Raw genomic sequence first — 16002 nt, forward strand, 5'->3', positions numbered from 1 at the left:
GTCAAAGAAATCTGAACACTGACTAGATACTTCTTAGGTGTGGTAATAATATCGTAGTATCTATTTTTGGAAAGCTCTTGTTTGTTAGATATGCACACTAAAATCTTTGTGGTTCAAATAATATGATATCTTGGATTTTCTTCCAAATAATCCTGTGAGAGGAAAAATGGGTAGCTGTATGAATAAAACAAGATTGGCCATGACTTGAAAATACAGGTTGAACATCTCTAACCTGAAAATCTGAAATGCTCCCAATTCCAAAATATTTGAGCACTGACATGATGCCACTAGATGAAAATTCCACACCTGACCTCATATGATGAGCTGCAGTAAAACCTTTGCTTCATGCACGAAATTATTTTAAAATGCTGTATAAAATTACCTTCAGACTATGTGTGTAAGGTATATATGAAATATAACTGAATTTCATGTTTAGACTTGGGTCCCTCCCCCAAGATATCTCATTATGTGTATGCGAATATTCCAAAATCCAAAATGAATCTGAAATTCAAAACGCTTCTGGTCCCAAGCATTTCAGACGAGAGATATTCAAACTGTAGTTGAAGTAAGGTGATGGGTTCATTATACCATCCTTTCTACGGTTGTATAGGTTTGAAAATTTCTAAATAAGACAGTTTAAAAAGTCGCAAATAAAAACCTAAGGAGGAGGGGTGTGTTAGGTGACTTGATCAGTTAGTGACCTTAAAGCTAACCCTAGATGCCAAGTCTACCTCCTTAGTGTTCTCAGGGCTCTGAATCAACTTATTAATAAAGGGAGAAATATGAACATCAGTAATGTAACAGGGCACAAGGCCTCAGCTGAGTGGTTTCTCAAAAAATTATTAAATTGGTCAGGCATGGTGGCTCACGCCTGTAATCCCAGCACTTTGGGAGGCCGAGGTGGGTGGATCACAAGGTCAGGAGTTCGAGACTAGCCTGGCCAATACAGTAAAACCCCGTATCTACTAAAAATACAAAAATTAGCTGGGCGTGGTGGTGTGTGCCTGTAGTCCCAGCTGCTCAGGAGGCTGGGGCAGGAGAATCGCTTGAATCCAGGAGACAGAAGTTGCAGTGAGCCGAGATTGTGCCACTGCACTCCAGTCTGGGCAACAGAGCGAGACTCCGTCTCAAAAAAAAAAAAATTATTAAATTGATTTGAATGCAAGGTACAAATTTTTTTTTTTTTTGATACAGTGTCTCACTCTGTCACCTAGGCTGGAGTGCAGTGGCAGGATCATGGCTCACTGCAGCCTTGACCTCCCAGGCCCAAAGGATTCTCTCACCTCAGCCACCCGAGTAGCTGGGACCGAGTAGCTGGGACCACAGGCGACGCCCGGCTAATTTTTTTTTTTTTGTAGAGGCGGGGTTTTGCCATGTTTTCTATGCAGGCTGGTTTCGAACTCTTGAGCTCAAGCAATCTGCCGGCCTTAGCCTCCCGAAGTGCTGGGATTGCTGAGAATTAATATGTATGCACTGATGATCCTCTCAACAATCCAAAGCAGTAAAACTATTACTTCTGTTTGTGAGTGTGGAAACCGAATTTAGGTAACCAGACAGCTCAAGGAATAGGGCTGCTTTGAATGACGATTATCTTCTAGGCAATTTGCAGCAACGTCAAAGGGCAGGGCCAGTAACAGGGTGGGGTGAGGTCTCAAAAAATTCAGTAATCAAAATGAATAACATTAATGCAATATTTTTTAAAAAATTAAATCAATAATCTACAGCTCATGAGGTAAATAATATGCCCGCTTTTGTAAATAAAGTTTATTGGAAACAGGGATGGAATTAGGGTGAGGTGATTGAGGCAAGGTCGTGCAAATGACTGGTCGGATCTCGTCTTTGTTTAAACGTCTGATATTTTGTTCAATATCAAATCATAAAAAGTTTTTGCATTAATTTTGGTTTTTTAAAAATATTGCATTAAAATATGAGTTTGATTGAGGGTTTTGGCGCCCCTTTAAATTTTGCTCCTAAGGCGGGAGTGCCTTGCCCGAATCCGGCCCAGAAAGGACACAGCTCTGGAAACATCTGTTTTCTATGCCCAATTTCGCCAGGGAGCTGCCAGCCACCAGCCAGGAGCCCCAGCGGTGACTTCCCCACTCGGGGCCCGGTCGGAAAACGCAAAGGGCCTGCGCGCGATGACCTCCAGGGCCCCTCCCAGGCCCAGTGTGGAACTCCCTAACACCCTCGCTCGCCCTCTCTCTGCGGAGAATCCCCCCGCACCGCTGCGGCCGGGTTCGGCTAGAGCCTCCCGGCTTTCAGAGCACCCTGAGGGGAGGAGCTTCCGCGACAGGAAACGCGCCAAAGGGGAGGGCTGGCGGCAGGAACCGGCTGAAGAGGGGCTGGGCTGCCGGCAGTGCGCGCCGCAGAGACCTGGAGCTCTCCGGCCACGGAGCCCGAAGCGCGGGAAGCCCGGCGGCGGGACGGGATGCCCGGTCGGAACCCATCCCGGCCGAGTCTCGAGGCCGCGGGAGCCGGCGCGGCGAACGCCGGGAGCCGCAGTCCTCCCGCCCGGGCGCCTCGGGTCAGCGGGGTCTACCCCGGCCCCACCTAACCTCTCGGTGCCCGGCCTTCTAAGCCCCCGTGGGGGGCGTGTGCATAAACTCACCTCAGAACCCACCTCGCCTGTCATGACTTCTGCCTCCCCTGCGCTCCACTAGGGACGGAGCTGTCTCTGATTCCCTCAGCCGGAGAGCAGCGGCTCCCGCCGTCTCCAGCCCAGCAGTGCTGTTCTTGCTTTCCCGCCCAGCCAGAGTGGAGGTCCCACCCAGATGGTTTGCACCAATCCAGAGGGGGCTTTCCAGCGAGTCCCCGCCCCCTTCCGACCCACCAATCACGCAGCGCCTCTGGCCGCCCAATCTCCTATTACCCAGGCTGAGTTGGCGGGTCGCAGCTGCTGGTAGCGGAGCCTGGGGGAGCTGGAGGTGCACGGGGGCGGGGCAGTCGGTACCAGGCGAGCCGTGGTCTTTGACCTTTGACACTTGCCAAAGCATCGAGTGCGATTGGAGGGGTGAGTCTTTCGGGGGGAAGTGAGCTGGGAAACGGTTCCTGGGCACCTGGGAGTGTCCTGTACCTGAACTTTTTAGAGGAATTCCAAGGTTCCCGTGGGGATTTTCTCCACTGACTTCATTTCTGGAGCAGCTAGATCCTGTGTGCCTCTTGTACATGACACTTACCACTGAATATATATATATATATATATATATATATATATATATATATATACACACACACACACATATGTACACACATATATACATACACATATATACACATACACATGTATGTGTATACACACACACTTTTTTTTTTTTTGAGATGGAGTCTCCCTCTGTTAGCCAGGATGAAATGCAGTGGCGCGATCTCGGCTCACTGCAACCTCCGCCTCCCGGGTTCAAGCGATTCTCGTGCCTCAGCCTCCTGAGTAGCTAGGATTACAGGCACCCGCCACCAACCCCTGGCTAATTTTTGTATTTTTAGTAGAGACGGGGTTTCACCATGTTGGCCAGGCTGGTCTCGAACTCCTGATCTCAAATGATCCTCGCCTCGGCCTCCCAAAGTGCTGGGAGGCCTCATACCCCTCACAGGCGTGAGCCACTGTGCCCGGCCCACTTTTATTTTTTAAAGAGGGCCGGGCTCCATGGCTCACGCTTGTAATCTCAACGCTTTGGGAGGCCGAGGTGGGAGGATGGCTTGAGTCCAGGAGTTTGAGGTTAGAGTGAGTTATGATCGCACCACTGCACTTCAGCGTAGGCGATAGAGGGAGACCTTGTCTCTAAAGAAAAAAGTTTTGTGGGCTGCTCAGATACCAAAGAATATGGTTGGATAATCTTTATAATTCTCTGTAGAGTTAATTTGAGGATGTAGAAAGCACTCATCACTCCTAGAGGGCATTCTACCTTTAAACAAGGCTGGAAAAAGAATTGAAGCTCTGAAATCAGGTTTATCCCAGACACAGTTCTTTTTTTTTTTTTTTTTTTTTTGTTGAGACAGAGTCTCTCCCTGTCACCATGGCTGGGTGCAATGGCGTGATCTCGGCTCACTGCAACCTCCGCCTCCCGGGTTCAAGCGATTCTCCTGCCTCAGCCTCCTGAGTAGCTAGGATTATAGGCATGTGCCACCACGCTCAGATAATTTTTTGTAACTTTAGTAGAGACAAGATTTCACCATTTTGGCCAGGCTGATCTTGAACTCCTGACCTCGTGATCCGCCCGTCTCAGCCTCCCAAAGTGCTGGGATTACAGGTGTGAGTCACCGCACCTGGCCTATCCCAGACAATTCTAATCCCAGTTTTGCCACTGTGCTGGCCATTATTTTTTGCCTCTCCAGGTCAATTCTCTGTCCTTCCTTTACCCTGGTGTGTGTCAAGGCAAGGCTGACCTCTCTAGACTGTATTATCCCAGCTCCCTTGCCCTTCTGGTTGGGTCAGGCCCCTGTAAAGACACCTTATAAGGTTACTGTAAGGAGATGAGAGGCCACCAGGAAAGAAAGGTCAGAGTATTTATTGCTCACTTCACCCTCCATGGTCATATCCACTGCCAGTGTGGCCAGCTTGGCCCAGCTTGCCCAGGACTTTCCTAGTTTTAGCACTAAAAGTCCTGCATCCTGAGAACCTCCTCAGTCACAGGTATACCAAATGGTTGGTTCTTCACCCAATCCACTGGCCTCCTCTTCCAAGTTTCCACCTTTAGCTGGGTTCAGAAAAAAGCTCCCTCTCCACATCTTCATTTCTTTACTTCCCCACCATCTCTCAATCCACTTCTGTCCCCACCAACAAGAGCCCATCATCCATCCTCTTCTCTTTTTGTGTCTTGGTTTATCCACCTTTTCATCCATTTACTATTAATTTCTACATCAACGATTCCCAGGTATACATCTATGGCACTCCCCATCATATATGGAGGGCTAACGTTTATTGAAGCCTTACTCAGTGGCAGAAACAGTTGCAAGGATTTTATAAGTGTTATCTTATTTAATCTTCAGAGTAAACTTGTAATATTATTATCTCTTTCTTAGAAGATGAGGAAACCAGACTTTTAAAAGGCTAGAAACTGGTGGAGCCAATTTTCAGACTCTATGTGACTTCAGAGCTCATACCCCTCAGAAAGACCCTGCCTGAGCATCCTCTGTGTTCTGCCTCCTTATCCTATGCTGGTTTCCCTGATAACACTTTCCTTTGCCTGAAATTTTATTTATATCTATTTGTCTGTTGTTGCTCCAAGAGAACAGGCGTTTTGTTTTCTTGGCCTCTGTATCATTGCAACCTAGAATTGTCTTTCTTAAACTTGAGCATGCATCAGAATAATCTGAAAGGCTGGTAAAAACAGCTATTGTTGGGTCCTAGTGCCAAAGTTTCTGATTCAGTATGTCTGAAGTGGGGTCCAGAGATGTATACTTCTTTCTTTCCTTTTTTTCTTTTTCTCCCTGAGTGCAGTGGCATGATCACAGCTCACTGCAGCCTCAACCTCCCAGGCTCAAGCAACCCTTCCACCTCAGCCTCCCAAGTGGCTGGGACTACAGGTGTGCACCACCATGCCCAGCTAATTTTTTATTTTGTAGAGACGGGGTGTCACCATGTTGCCCAAGCTGGTCTCAAACTCCTGGACTCAAGCAACCTGCACATCTCGGCCTCGCAAAGTGCTGGGATTACGGGCATGAACCACCGTGCCCCACAGGAATGTATATTACTAACAAATTCCCTGGTGATGCTAGTGTTGCTGATCTGGAGACCACACTTTGAGAACAAAGGACTTAGAACATCCCAGGTTCAAGGTAGGAAAACTGATAAATATTTGTTGAACTAATTAATTCATTCACTTGACAACTTCTTGAGCTCCCTCTGAAAATGAATGAGTGAAATAATATTCCTTATATTAGTATTTTAAAATATCTTTGGGGAGCACCTTTTCACTCATCACAGAAGCTAAGAGAGAAAGCTCCAATTTGAACAATGGGTGGACATGGGTAAGCTAGGAAAGGAAAACCTTTCATTCAATTTTTATTGTGGTAAAACATATATAACATGAAATTTACCATCTTAACCATTTTAAAGTATGCAGTTCAGAAGTACATTCAAATTGTTATGTAACCAATCTACCAATCTTCAGAATTCTTTTCTTTTTCTCTTCTTTTTTTTTTTTGAAATGGAGTTTTGCTCTTGTTGCCTAGGCTGGAATGCAATGGTGCTATCTTGGCTCACTGCAACCTCTGCCTCCCGGGTTCAAGCAATTCTCCTGCCTCAGCCTCCCAAGTAGCTGGGATTACAGGCACCTGCCACCACGCCTGGCTACTTTTTTGTATGTATTCTTAGGAGAGACGGGGTTTCACCATGTTGGCCAGGCTAGTCTTGAACTCCTGACCTCAAGTGACCCATGCACCTCGGCCTCCCAAAGCGCTGGGATTACAGGTGTGACCCAACGGGCCTGGCCTAGAACTCCTTTCATCTTGCAAAACTGAAACTCTATGCCCATTAAGCAACAACTTCATACTCCTCCCATCCCCAGGAAACTTTTATTTTACACATTAACTTGTGCCAAGATAAAGTGAGTCTGTATTTAGAATTAGCAACCTGTATTCTCAATTTTGGTGAGTGGAACCATATCCACTCACCAGTTTAGAAACCTGTGAATCACCTTGACCTCTCTGTCCCTTCATTGTTGTAGTCATCCAACAATCCTTGTTTATCAAGTTGATAAATGGCAACAAAGGAAACATCTGGAGTGCTCACTTTACAGGGATTAGTCTGAACCTGTCCCATAGAGGGCTTCATAAACTTAGGTAACTAATTTAGTTTCTCAGAAATGTGTTCTTTTTTGGAGGTTGGGTGCAGTGGGTCATGCCTGTAATCCCAGAATTTTGGGAGGCTGAGGCAGTCAGATCACTTGAGGCCAGGAGTTTGAGACCAGCCTGGCCAACATGGTGAAACCCTGACTCTACTAAAAACACAAAAATTAGCCGGGCGTGGTGGCGGGCACCTGTAGTCCCAGCTACTTGGGAGGCTGAGGCAGGAGAATTGCTTGAACCTGGGAGGCGGAGATTGTGGTGAGCTGAGATCGTGCACCACTGCACTCCAGCCTGGGTGACAGAGCAAGACTCCATTTCAAAAAAAGAAAAGAAACTTGTTCTTTTTTGTAACTAGAAAACACTGGATGAGATCATGATTCTCAAATAGGTTTAATGAGTAGGGCACCCGAAAGTATAGCACTTCATAGGAAGCATTTTGCAGTACTGATGCTGTTAATCTGGTCATTTGAATGCGGAAACATTTTAACTAGTAGGATATATTATTATATCACAAAAAAATATTTAAAAAGCAATTCTGACATTACAAGTCTGGGAAAAAATCAGCCATGGAACTTAACATGCTCAGCCAGTTCTAAAAGTGCTCTATTTATATTGTGCTCCTTGGCAGACAAAAGCAGAAACCAAAGGCTTAAGAAAGTTTGGAGGAAGATAATTGACTGAATTATGTCTTTTATTTCTTTTTCTGCAAATTGAGGAAGATTACCATGTTACATTTTTAGTACTGCTATTCCTCTGGAGTAAAGTTTAAAACTACCTGCTTTTCCAAAGTCCTGGGCCGCTAAATTACCTTCGTCCCTGGGGAAACACTGCCACTGTGTGGCAGACCTTGGTTATGCCACTCTATCCTAAAACCATTTGAGACGTGGGGGTCATTTTAAGATTATTCAAGTTATTTAATTTTTCCTTTGGTGGGGTAAAATAACTGCATCTCCCAGTATCTTATTTTAAAAATAATTTCGGCCAGGTGAGGTGGCTCACGCCTGTAATCCCAGCACTTTAGGAGGCCGAGGCTGGTGGATTGCCTAAGCTCAGGAGTTCACAACCAGCCTGGGCAACACGGTGAAACCCCGTCTCTACTAAAAATACAAAAAAAAAAAAAATTAGCCAGGCGTGGTGGTGTGTGCCTGTAGTCCTGCTACTCGGGAGGCTGAGGCAGGAGAATCGCTTAAACTCGTGAGGCAGAGGTTGCAGTGAGCCGAGATCACACCACCGCACTCCAGCCTGGGAGACAGAACGAGACTCTGTCTCAACAACAACAAAAAAATCATATTGTCATTCCATACAGTTATGAAGCTTCTCTTAGAGAGTACCCTGCTTGAAGGTCAGAGCTGTTTTTCTTGCTTATCATAGTAGCCTCTGACTTTTAAAATGGTACAGGGCCTCGGTGCAGTGGCTCAGCCTGTAATCCCAGCACTTTGGGGAGGCTGAGGCAGGTGGATCACTTGAGGCCAGGAGTTCGACCAGAATAATAGGAGCTAGACCAGTTTTTTAAGTGGGAGATTATGGGAACCTGAACTAGATCAATGGTAGTAACAATGAAGAGGAGAGGATGGTGAAACTCTGTCTCTACTAAAAATGCAAAAATCAGCCCAGTGCGGTGGCACATGCCTGTAATCCCAGCTACTCCGGAGGCTGACACACAAGAATCACTTGAACCCAGGAGTCAGAGGTTGCAGTGAGCCAAGATTGCACCACTGCACTCCAGCCTGGGCAACAGAGTGAGACTCTGTCTCAAAAAATAATAAGACACTGGACACGGTGGTTCATGCTTGTTATCCCAGCACTTTGGAAGGCCGAGGCAGGTGGATCACTTGAGGCCGGGAGTTCAAAACCAGCCTGGCCAACATGGTGAAACCCCGTCTCTGCTAAAAATACAAAAATTAGCCGGGTGTAGTGGCAGGTGCCTGTAATCCCAGTTACTCAGGGAGTCTGAGGCAGGAGAATCGCTTGAACCTGGGATGCAGAGGCTGCAGTAAGCCAAGATCGCGCCACTGCACTCCAGCCTGGGTAACAGAGTGAGACTCGGTCTCAAAAAAAAAAAAAGAAAATAAAAAAAGGAAATAATAATAGAATAAAAGAAAACAGCACAGGGCTGGACACAATGGCTCATGTCTGTAATCCCAGCACTTTGGGAGGCTGAGACAGGAGGAGGCTTGAGCTCAGAAGTTCAAGACCAGCCTGAGCAACATAGTGAGACCTCATCTTTACTAAAAATTTTTTTAAAAATTAGCTGAGAGTGGTGACGAGCACCTGTGGTCCCAGCCACTTAGGAGGCTGAAGTGGGAAGATCACTTGAGCCTGAGGCTGTAATGAGCCATGATCGCACCACTGCACTCCAGCCTGGCCAACGGAGCGAGACCGTGACTCAATTTTTTTTTAAAGGTGTAGGGCCTGAAATATAGTGGGTGCTTAATAAATAATTGTTAAGGCCAGGCGCAGTGGCTCACACCTATAATCCCAGCACTTTGGGAGGCCAAGGCAGGTGGATCATAAGGTCAAGAGTTCAAGACCAGCCTGGCCAAGATGGTGAAACCCAGTCTCTACTAAAAATACAAAAAATTAGCCGGGCATGGTGGCAGGTGCCTGTAATCCCAGCTATTTGTGAGGCTGAAGCAGAGAATTGCTTGAATCCGGGAGGCGGAGGTTGCAGTGAGCCAAGATTGCACCACTGCACTCCAGCCTGGGTGACAGAGTGAGACTCTGTCTCAAAAAAAGAATAAACAAATAATAAATGATTGTTGAATAAGTGGTTAAGATACTAGGGACTAAACAAAAACAAAAACAAATAATGCCAGGGCCTTTTCCCAAGGTATATAAGCACACACCGTCAGCTAGACTGTGTGCAGAAGCTCCCTTCCCATGACACTGGGGAAATCTAAAGTACCTATAAAATATTCATCCACTTGAGCACCTATTTTAAGCCCCTACTAGATACAAAGAATATAAAGACAAATAAAATACAATCTTGTTCTCAGAGAGCTTCCCACTGCAGTCAGAGACAGGCAAGCAAACAAGCATGTGTGATATGGAAGTGTGTACAGGTAGCTTCAGGAGTGAGCTATTTGTCCTTGAGGGAGGGACAACTGACTGTGCCTGGGGTAAGTAAGTGGGGAGATGACTCCTGAACTGAGTTTCAAAGATGAATTGAAGTTCTCCAGGCTGGTACAGGGAGGAGAAGGCCTTCCAGGTATGTGAAGGGGCTTGAAAAAGCATGTTGTGTTTGAGGAACTAAAAGTAGGTCAGTATGACTAGAGCATGGTGTAGAGGTGTGGCCAGAATAAAGGCTAAACAGGTTATGAACAGGTTAGATAATGAAGGTTAAACCAGGAACAAAAGGTCTGTAATGCCATGCCTAAAAGTTTAGCTTTTAGACAGTATGAACAGAGCAGATGGGGTGTGGGGAGGGACTTTGTTAAGGAGAGCGATATGACCAGATACATGCTTGAGAAAGATTATTCTAGCAGCATATGAAGCATGGATTGGAAGGGGATTAGACTGGAGGCAGGAAGACCAGTTGTCTAAGTGGGAGATTATGGAAACCTGAACTAGGTCAATGGTAGTAACAATGGAGAGGAGAGGATGGATTGGGAAAAGAGGCAAAGCTGACAGGGCTTGATGGATGATTAACCTTGAGGGGCGAGGGACAGTGGAGCCAATGTGACTCCAGTGACACCCACATTTCTGTACTGGTGAGTGATGGATTGTGATGCCATTCACCAAAATTAAGAATGCAGGTCACTAATTCCAAATACAGACTCACTTTAGCTTGGTGCAAATTAATGTGTAGAATGAAAGATTTCTCCTTCCTAGCTCTCCCCGGTCTACTCATTGTCCAAATTGGAGTCACTTCTGGTGACTAAAGAGGTGGTCCCCAGGCTCAGCCTTTCTCTCCATTCTATTTCCAAACTGCTATCCCTACAGCACCCCAAACCTGAACTCTTTTGTATTCCATTCGCATATTTTCTTTTTCTTTCTTTTTTTTTTTTTTGAGACAGTCTCGCTCTGTTGCCCAGGCTGGAGTGCAGTGGCGCAATCTCGGCTCACTGCAAGCTCCGCCTCTGGGGTTCACGCCATTCTCCTGCCTTAGTCTCCCGAGTAGCTGGGACTACAGGCGCCCACAACCACGCCCGGCTAATTTTTTGTATTTTTAATAGAGACAGGGTTTCACCGTGTTAGCCAGGATGGTCTCGATCTCCTGACCTCGTGATCTGCCCGACTCGGCCTCCCAAAGTGCTGGGATTACAGGCGTGAGCCACCGTGCCCAGCCTAATTTTTGTATTTTTAGTAGAGACAGGGTTTTGCCATATTGGCCAGGCTGGTCTTGAACTCCTGACCTCAGGTGACCTGCCCACCTCGGCCTCCCAAAGTGCTGGGATTACAGACATGAGCCACTGCGCCCGGCCCATTCCTACTTTCTATTACATTTCAGCTCCTGCTTATAGATTGGCTAATATTTGACCCCCTTCAGGAATGCCAGATAATTCAACTATACCTAGAAGGGTAGAGCCTTATGAGAATATAGTAACTCCTTCAAACACAATATAGTTGGCATAGGGGAACACTTAGGAACTTCTAAGACAGGAGGTGTTATTGGACAGACAATATAATTTTGTGCTTACTATAGGCCCGAAGGATGGTTTTACCAGTGTTATTCAACCAGGGGATTTATCATGATTGTCAGAATGGCCCAGAATCTCTTGGCATTTTGTGGATAAGACCAAGGTTGCTAAATGTCAGTGAGAAACATTACAATAGGCAAAGAGGAAAAGGAGAAGTATTTTAGGCAGAGAAAATAGAATGCGTAAAGTCATGGACACAGGAATAATAGTAAGATATTAAGGGAAATGTCCAACTAATGACTTTAGAGGGGACTAGTAGGTGATGATGGTAAGGAAAGTAGGGAATAAGATCTAAAGATTGTTTAAATTCAACTCAATAAGCATCTACAGAGTGTCTATTTGGAGCCTGAATATCTGCTAGACTCATGAGATATAAGAGAAAACAAAACAAGTTATCTTTCTCTGAGGATAAACTATCATTACAAATAAATAAATTGTGAAGTAGATTGTGATGAGTGTTATAGAAAAGATATGAAATTTGTGCTCCAGAAGCACGATCATAGCAGACCTTGAATATGAAGAATAGAACTATAAGACATACAGTCATTCATTCACCACACAAACCTTTATTGAACATTGTGGTAGACTGAGAGAATAATGGTGACTGTGCCCTCTCCCTTTTTCAATGTGATTTTGCTGTACCTCCCATCTAATTCAACATCTCTTAAATCTGGGCTGTCCTAGTTATTTGTATTAATCAACAGAATAAGCTGAGTATGGTTGCTCATGCCTGTAAACCCAATACTTTAGGAGGCTGAGGTAGGTGGGCAGCTTGAGCCCAGGAGTTCAAGACCAGCCTGGGCAACGTGGTGGAACCCCATCTCTACAAAAAATACAAAATTTAGCTGGGGCTGGTGGTGCATGCCTGTGGCCCCAGCTACTCAGAAGGGTGAGGTAGGAGGATCACCTGAGCCCGGTGAGGTCAAGCTACAGTGAGCCATGATTGCACCACTGCACTCCAGCCTGGGCAACACAGCAAGACCCTCTCCCCCACTCCCCTGCCCCCCCAAATCAACAGAATATATTGCAAGTAGCTTTGTACTGGGCACAGTGGCTCATGCCTGTAATCCCAGCTACTCAGGAGGCTGAGGTGGGAGGATCACTTGAGCCCAGGAGGTCAAGGATGCAGTGAGCTATGATCACACCACTGCACTCCAGCCTGGGCTAGAGAATGAGACTCTGTCTCAAAAACAACAACAACAAAAAGAAGGTAGCATTGTATAGTTTCTGAGGCTAAGCCTTAAGGGATTTTGCAGCTTTCAGTTTCATTATCTCAGAACACTGCGGCCACTATTTTTTTTTTTTTTTTGAGATGGAGTTTTGCTCTTATTGCCCAGGCTGGAGTGCAATGGCACGATCTTGGCTTACCGCAACCTCTGCCTCCTGGGTCCAAGCAATTCTCCTGCTTCAGCCTCCCAGGTAGCTGGGATTACAGGCACACACCACCACGCCCGGCTAATTTTGTATTTTTAGTAGAGACGGGGTTTCTCCATGTTGGTCAGGCTGGTCTTGAACTCCCAACCTCAGGCAATCCGCCCACCTCAGCCTCCCAAAGTGATGGGATTACAGGAGTGAGCCACCACGCCTGGCCTGTGGCCACTATTTAAGAAACCAAGTTATCCCATTGAATGGGCCACATGGAAGAGAATCAAGACACCTCAGCCAACAGCTAATTGCCAGACATGACCATCCTGGACCACCCAGCCCCATTTAGCCACCAGATGAATACAACCATGTGAGTGACCAAAGATGAGACCAGGAGAAGAATCAACCAGCTAAGCCCAGCCAAATTACAGAATTATGGGCCGGGCTCAGTGGCCCACGCCTGTAATCCCAGCACTTTGGGAGGCCAGGGCAGGCGGATCACCTGAGGTCTGGAGTTCGAGACCAGCCTGGCCAACATGGTGAAACCCTGTCTCTACTAAAAATACAAAAATGAGCTGGGTGTGGTGGCGCATGCCTGTAGTCCCGGCTACTTGGGAAGCTGAGGCAGGAAAATTGCTTGAACCTGGGAGGCAGAGGTTGCAGTGAGCCAAGATAGTGCCACTGCATTTCAGCCTGGGCGACAAAGCAAGACTCCGTCTCAAAAAAAAAAAAAAATTACAGAATTATGGGCAAATAAATGATTGTTGTTTGTTGTTTAGTATGGTTTGTTATGCAGTAATGGATAATTAAAAGACGCTCCCATCATGGGTTAGACATTGTTTGAATGAGGCCTTCCATATATATTATTTAGCTGACACAACAAACCTATAGAGTGGGTAACTCTTACTATCCCCATTTTTATAAATGGAAACTGAGGTCCAGAGTAGGAGAGAGGGTTTATTATTCAGGATCACAGAGCTAATTAATAGCTTAGCTGGGATTTGAATCTCACCTCTCTAACTCCAATTCCAGTGCTCCTTTCACTCTTCCAGGATGCTTCTTTGCTGTATTTACAGATGCATGACCCTATTATCTTCTTAAAAGATAGATATCAACTCTTGTTAGGAATGCCAAGTTTTAAAAGGTGTTAGATATAAGAGTTCCCAATATAAGACTATGTATTTGATCAATAAGCCCAGATGCTACCAGTAATACTCAGAAAATCACCAAATGTAATGCCTGACACAATGATGCTATAATTTTTCCTTCTAATGGAACCAAATGAGACTTACATATTGTGACCATTAAATACGGTATTGTTATCACAACCTCTCTGCCATTTCTTATATCTACACGTCTGTATTGAGAGAGAAGGATAAATGAATGCAAATGCCCTTCTTTTTTTCATTTTTTTCTTTTTGAAACAGGGTTGCCCAGGCTGTAGTGCAGTGGCACGATGTAGGCTCACTACAACCTCCACCTCCTGGGCTCAAGCCTGCCTCCTGCCTCAGCCTCCCAAGTAGCTGAGACTACAGGCACGTACCACTACATCTGACTAATTTTTGTGTTTTTTGTAGAGACGGGTGTTTGCCATGTTGCCCAGACTGGTCTCAAACTCCGAAGCTCAAGGGATCCTCCTCCCTCGGCCTCCCAAAGTGCTGGGATTACAGGCATGAGCTACCGCGCCCAGCCTTTTTCTTTTTTATTTTTATGAGTACATAATAGCTGTACATATTTATGGAGTACATGTGGTATTTTGAGACAAAAGTACAATGTGTAATAATCAAATCAGGATAATTAAGTCTGTCATCTTGGTATTTGTCTTCTCTTTGTTTCATCTGTTTCTCCTTTCCTGCCTTTTTTGGGTGAACTTAATATTCCACATATTTTCTCTATTGATTTTTAGCTATATTTTGTTTTGTTTTGTTTTGTTTTTTTTGAAACAGAGTCTCACTCTCTTGCCCAGGCTGGAGAGCAGTGGCATAATCATGGCTCACTGCAGCCTCAACTTTCTGGGCTCAAGTGATCATCTTGGTTTAGCCTCCCAAAGTGCTGAGATTACAGCTGTGAACTACCGCATCCGGCCTTACACTTCTTATAATAGCCATTTTAATTTCTCATAGTTGGCTGGACGCAGTGGCTCACAGCTGTAATCCCAGAACTTTGGGAGGCTGAGGCACGAGGATCACTTGAGCCCAGGAGTTTGAGACCAGCCTGAGCAACATAGCTAGACCCTGTCTCTGAAAAAAAAACTTGCCACAGTCTACTTTCAAATAATACTGTGCTCCTTTATAAATAATATAAGAAACCTTACAGTGGTATTTTATTTACCTACCTCCTGTCCTTTGAATCCTTGTTATATATTTATTCTGTAAATCTCACAATATATACATATATAAATATATAAAACATACTTTATTAAAGATCATTTTTGAAAAGGTCTTTTATATTTATTCAGATATTCACCATTTCAAGTTTTCATTTCTTCCTGCAAATCTGGACTTTCATCTGGTATCATTTCCTATCAGTTTCTAGAACTTACTTTAGCATTTCTTATAATACAAGTCTGCCTGGAACAAATTCTCTTAGCTTTTGTCTACCTGCAAATATTTTTATTTTATTTTTGAAGCATTTTTTTTTCTTCTAGCACTTTAAAGGTGTCATCCAGGCCGGGCCTGGTGGCTCACACCTGTAATCCCAGCACTTTGGGAGGCCAAGGCAGGCAGATCACCTGAGGCCAGGAGTTCAAGACAAGCCTGGCCAACATGGCGAAACCCCGTCTCTACTAAAAATACAAAAATTAGCCAGGCGTGGTGGCGGGCACCAGTAATGCCAGCTACTTGGGAGGCCGAGGTGGAAGAATCACTTGAACCCGGGAGGTGGAGGTTGCAGTGAGCCGAGATCACGCCACTGTACTCCAGCCTGAGTGACAGAGCAAGACTCTGTCTCAAATAAAATAAATAAAAAATAAAAGTGTTATCCATTGTCCTTTGGTCTCCCTTGTTTTTTCCTCTGTCTCCCTTCCTCCCAGACCCCAGTTTTCTGGTCTCCGTTTCTGATGTCATTCATTCTTTGTATCGTTGTTTTCCTAGAGGCACTATGTCCATTTTCACTGGCTACTTTAAAAATGTTATTTTTAATATTTGGTTTCAGTAGTTTGACTATATGTCTAGGTGTGGTTTTATATGTAGTTATCCTGCTTAGGATTTGCTAA

At 45.2% G+C, this 16002-nt stretch overlaps 1 protein-coding gene and 1 long non-coding RNA gene across 4 annotated transcripts in view, besides 1 other annotated feature; one reads left to right on the forward strand and one right to left on the reverse strand.

The window, feature by feature from the left end:
* Window positions 1-2740, reverse strand: part of CLSPN (claspin) — a 49766-nt gene extending 47026 nt beyond the window's left edge. For all 3 annotated transcript variants that reach the window (NM_001330490.2, NM_001190481.2, NM_022111.4), the window contains exon 1: window positions 2609-2740. In NM_001330490.2, the coding sequence (NP_001317419.1) occupies window positions 2609-2632 (24 nt within the window). In that variant the 5' untranslated portion in view covers window positions 2633-2740. The remainder of the gene's footprint in view (window positions 1-2608) is intronic.
* Window positions 2353-2582: a silencer, noted in NCBI's record as "silent region_646". NCBI's record gives its function as "represses an Ori minimal core promoter by ATAC-STARR-seq in GM12878 lymphoblastoid cells {active_cell/tissue: GM12878}" and the evidence as "EXISTENCE:reporter gene assay evidence [ECO:0000049][PMID:35858748]".
* A 116-nt stretch (window positions 2741-2856) lies between the features above and the next one.
* The window catches only part of CLSPN-DT (CLSPN divergent transcript), a 36846-nt gene continuing 23700 nt past the window's right edge, over window positions 2857-16002 (forward strand). Inside the window, exons 1-2 of the long non-coding RNA NR_199050.1 lie at window positions 2857-3010; window positions 5560-5772. This is a non-coding gene — a long non-coding RNA (CLSPN divergent transcript). The remainder of the gene's footprint in view (window positions 3011-5559; window positions 5773-16002) is intronic.

Source organism: Homo sapiens, chromosome 1 (genome assembly GCF_000001405.40).
Source record: "Homo sapiens chromosome 1, GRCh38.p14 Primary Assembly".
Taxonomy (NCBI): Eukaryota; Metazoa; Chordata; class Mammalia; order Primates; family Hominidae; genus Homo; species Homo sapiens.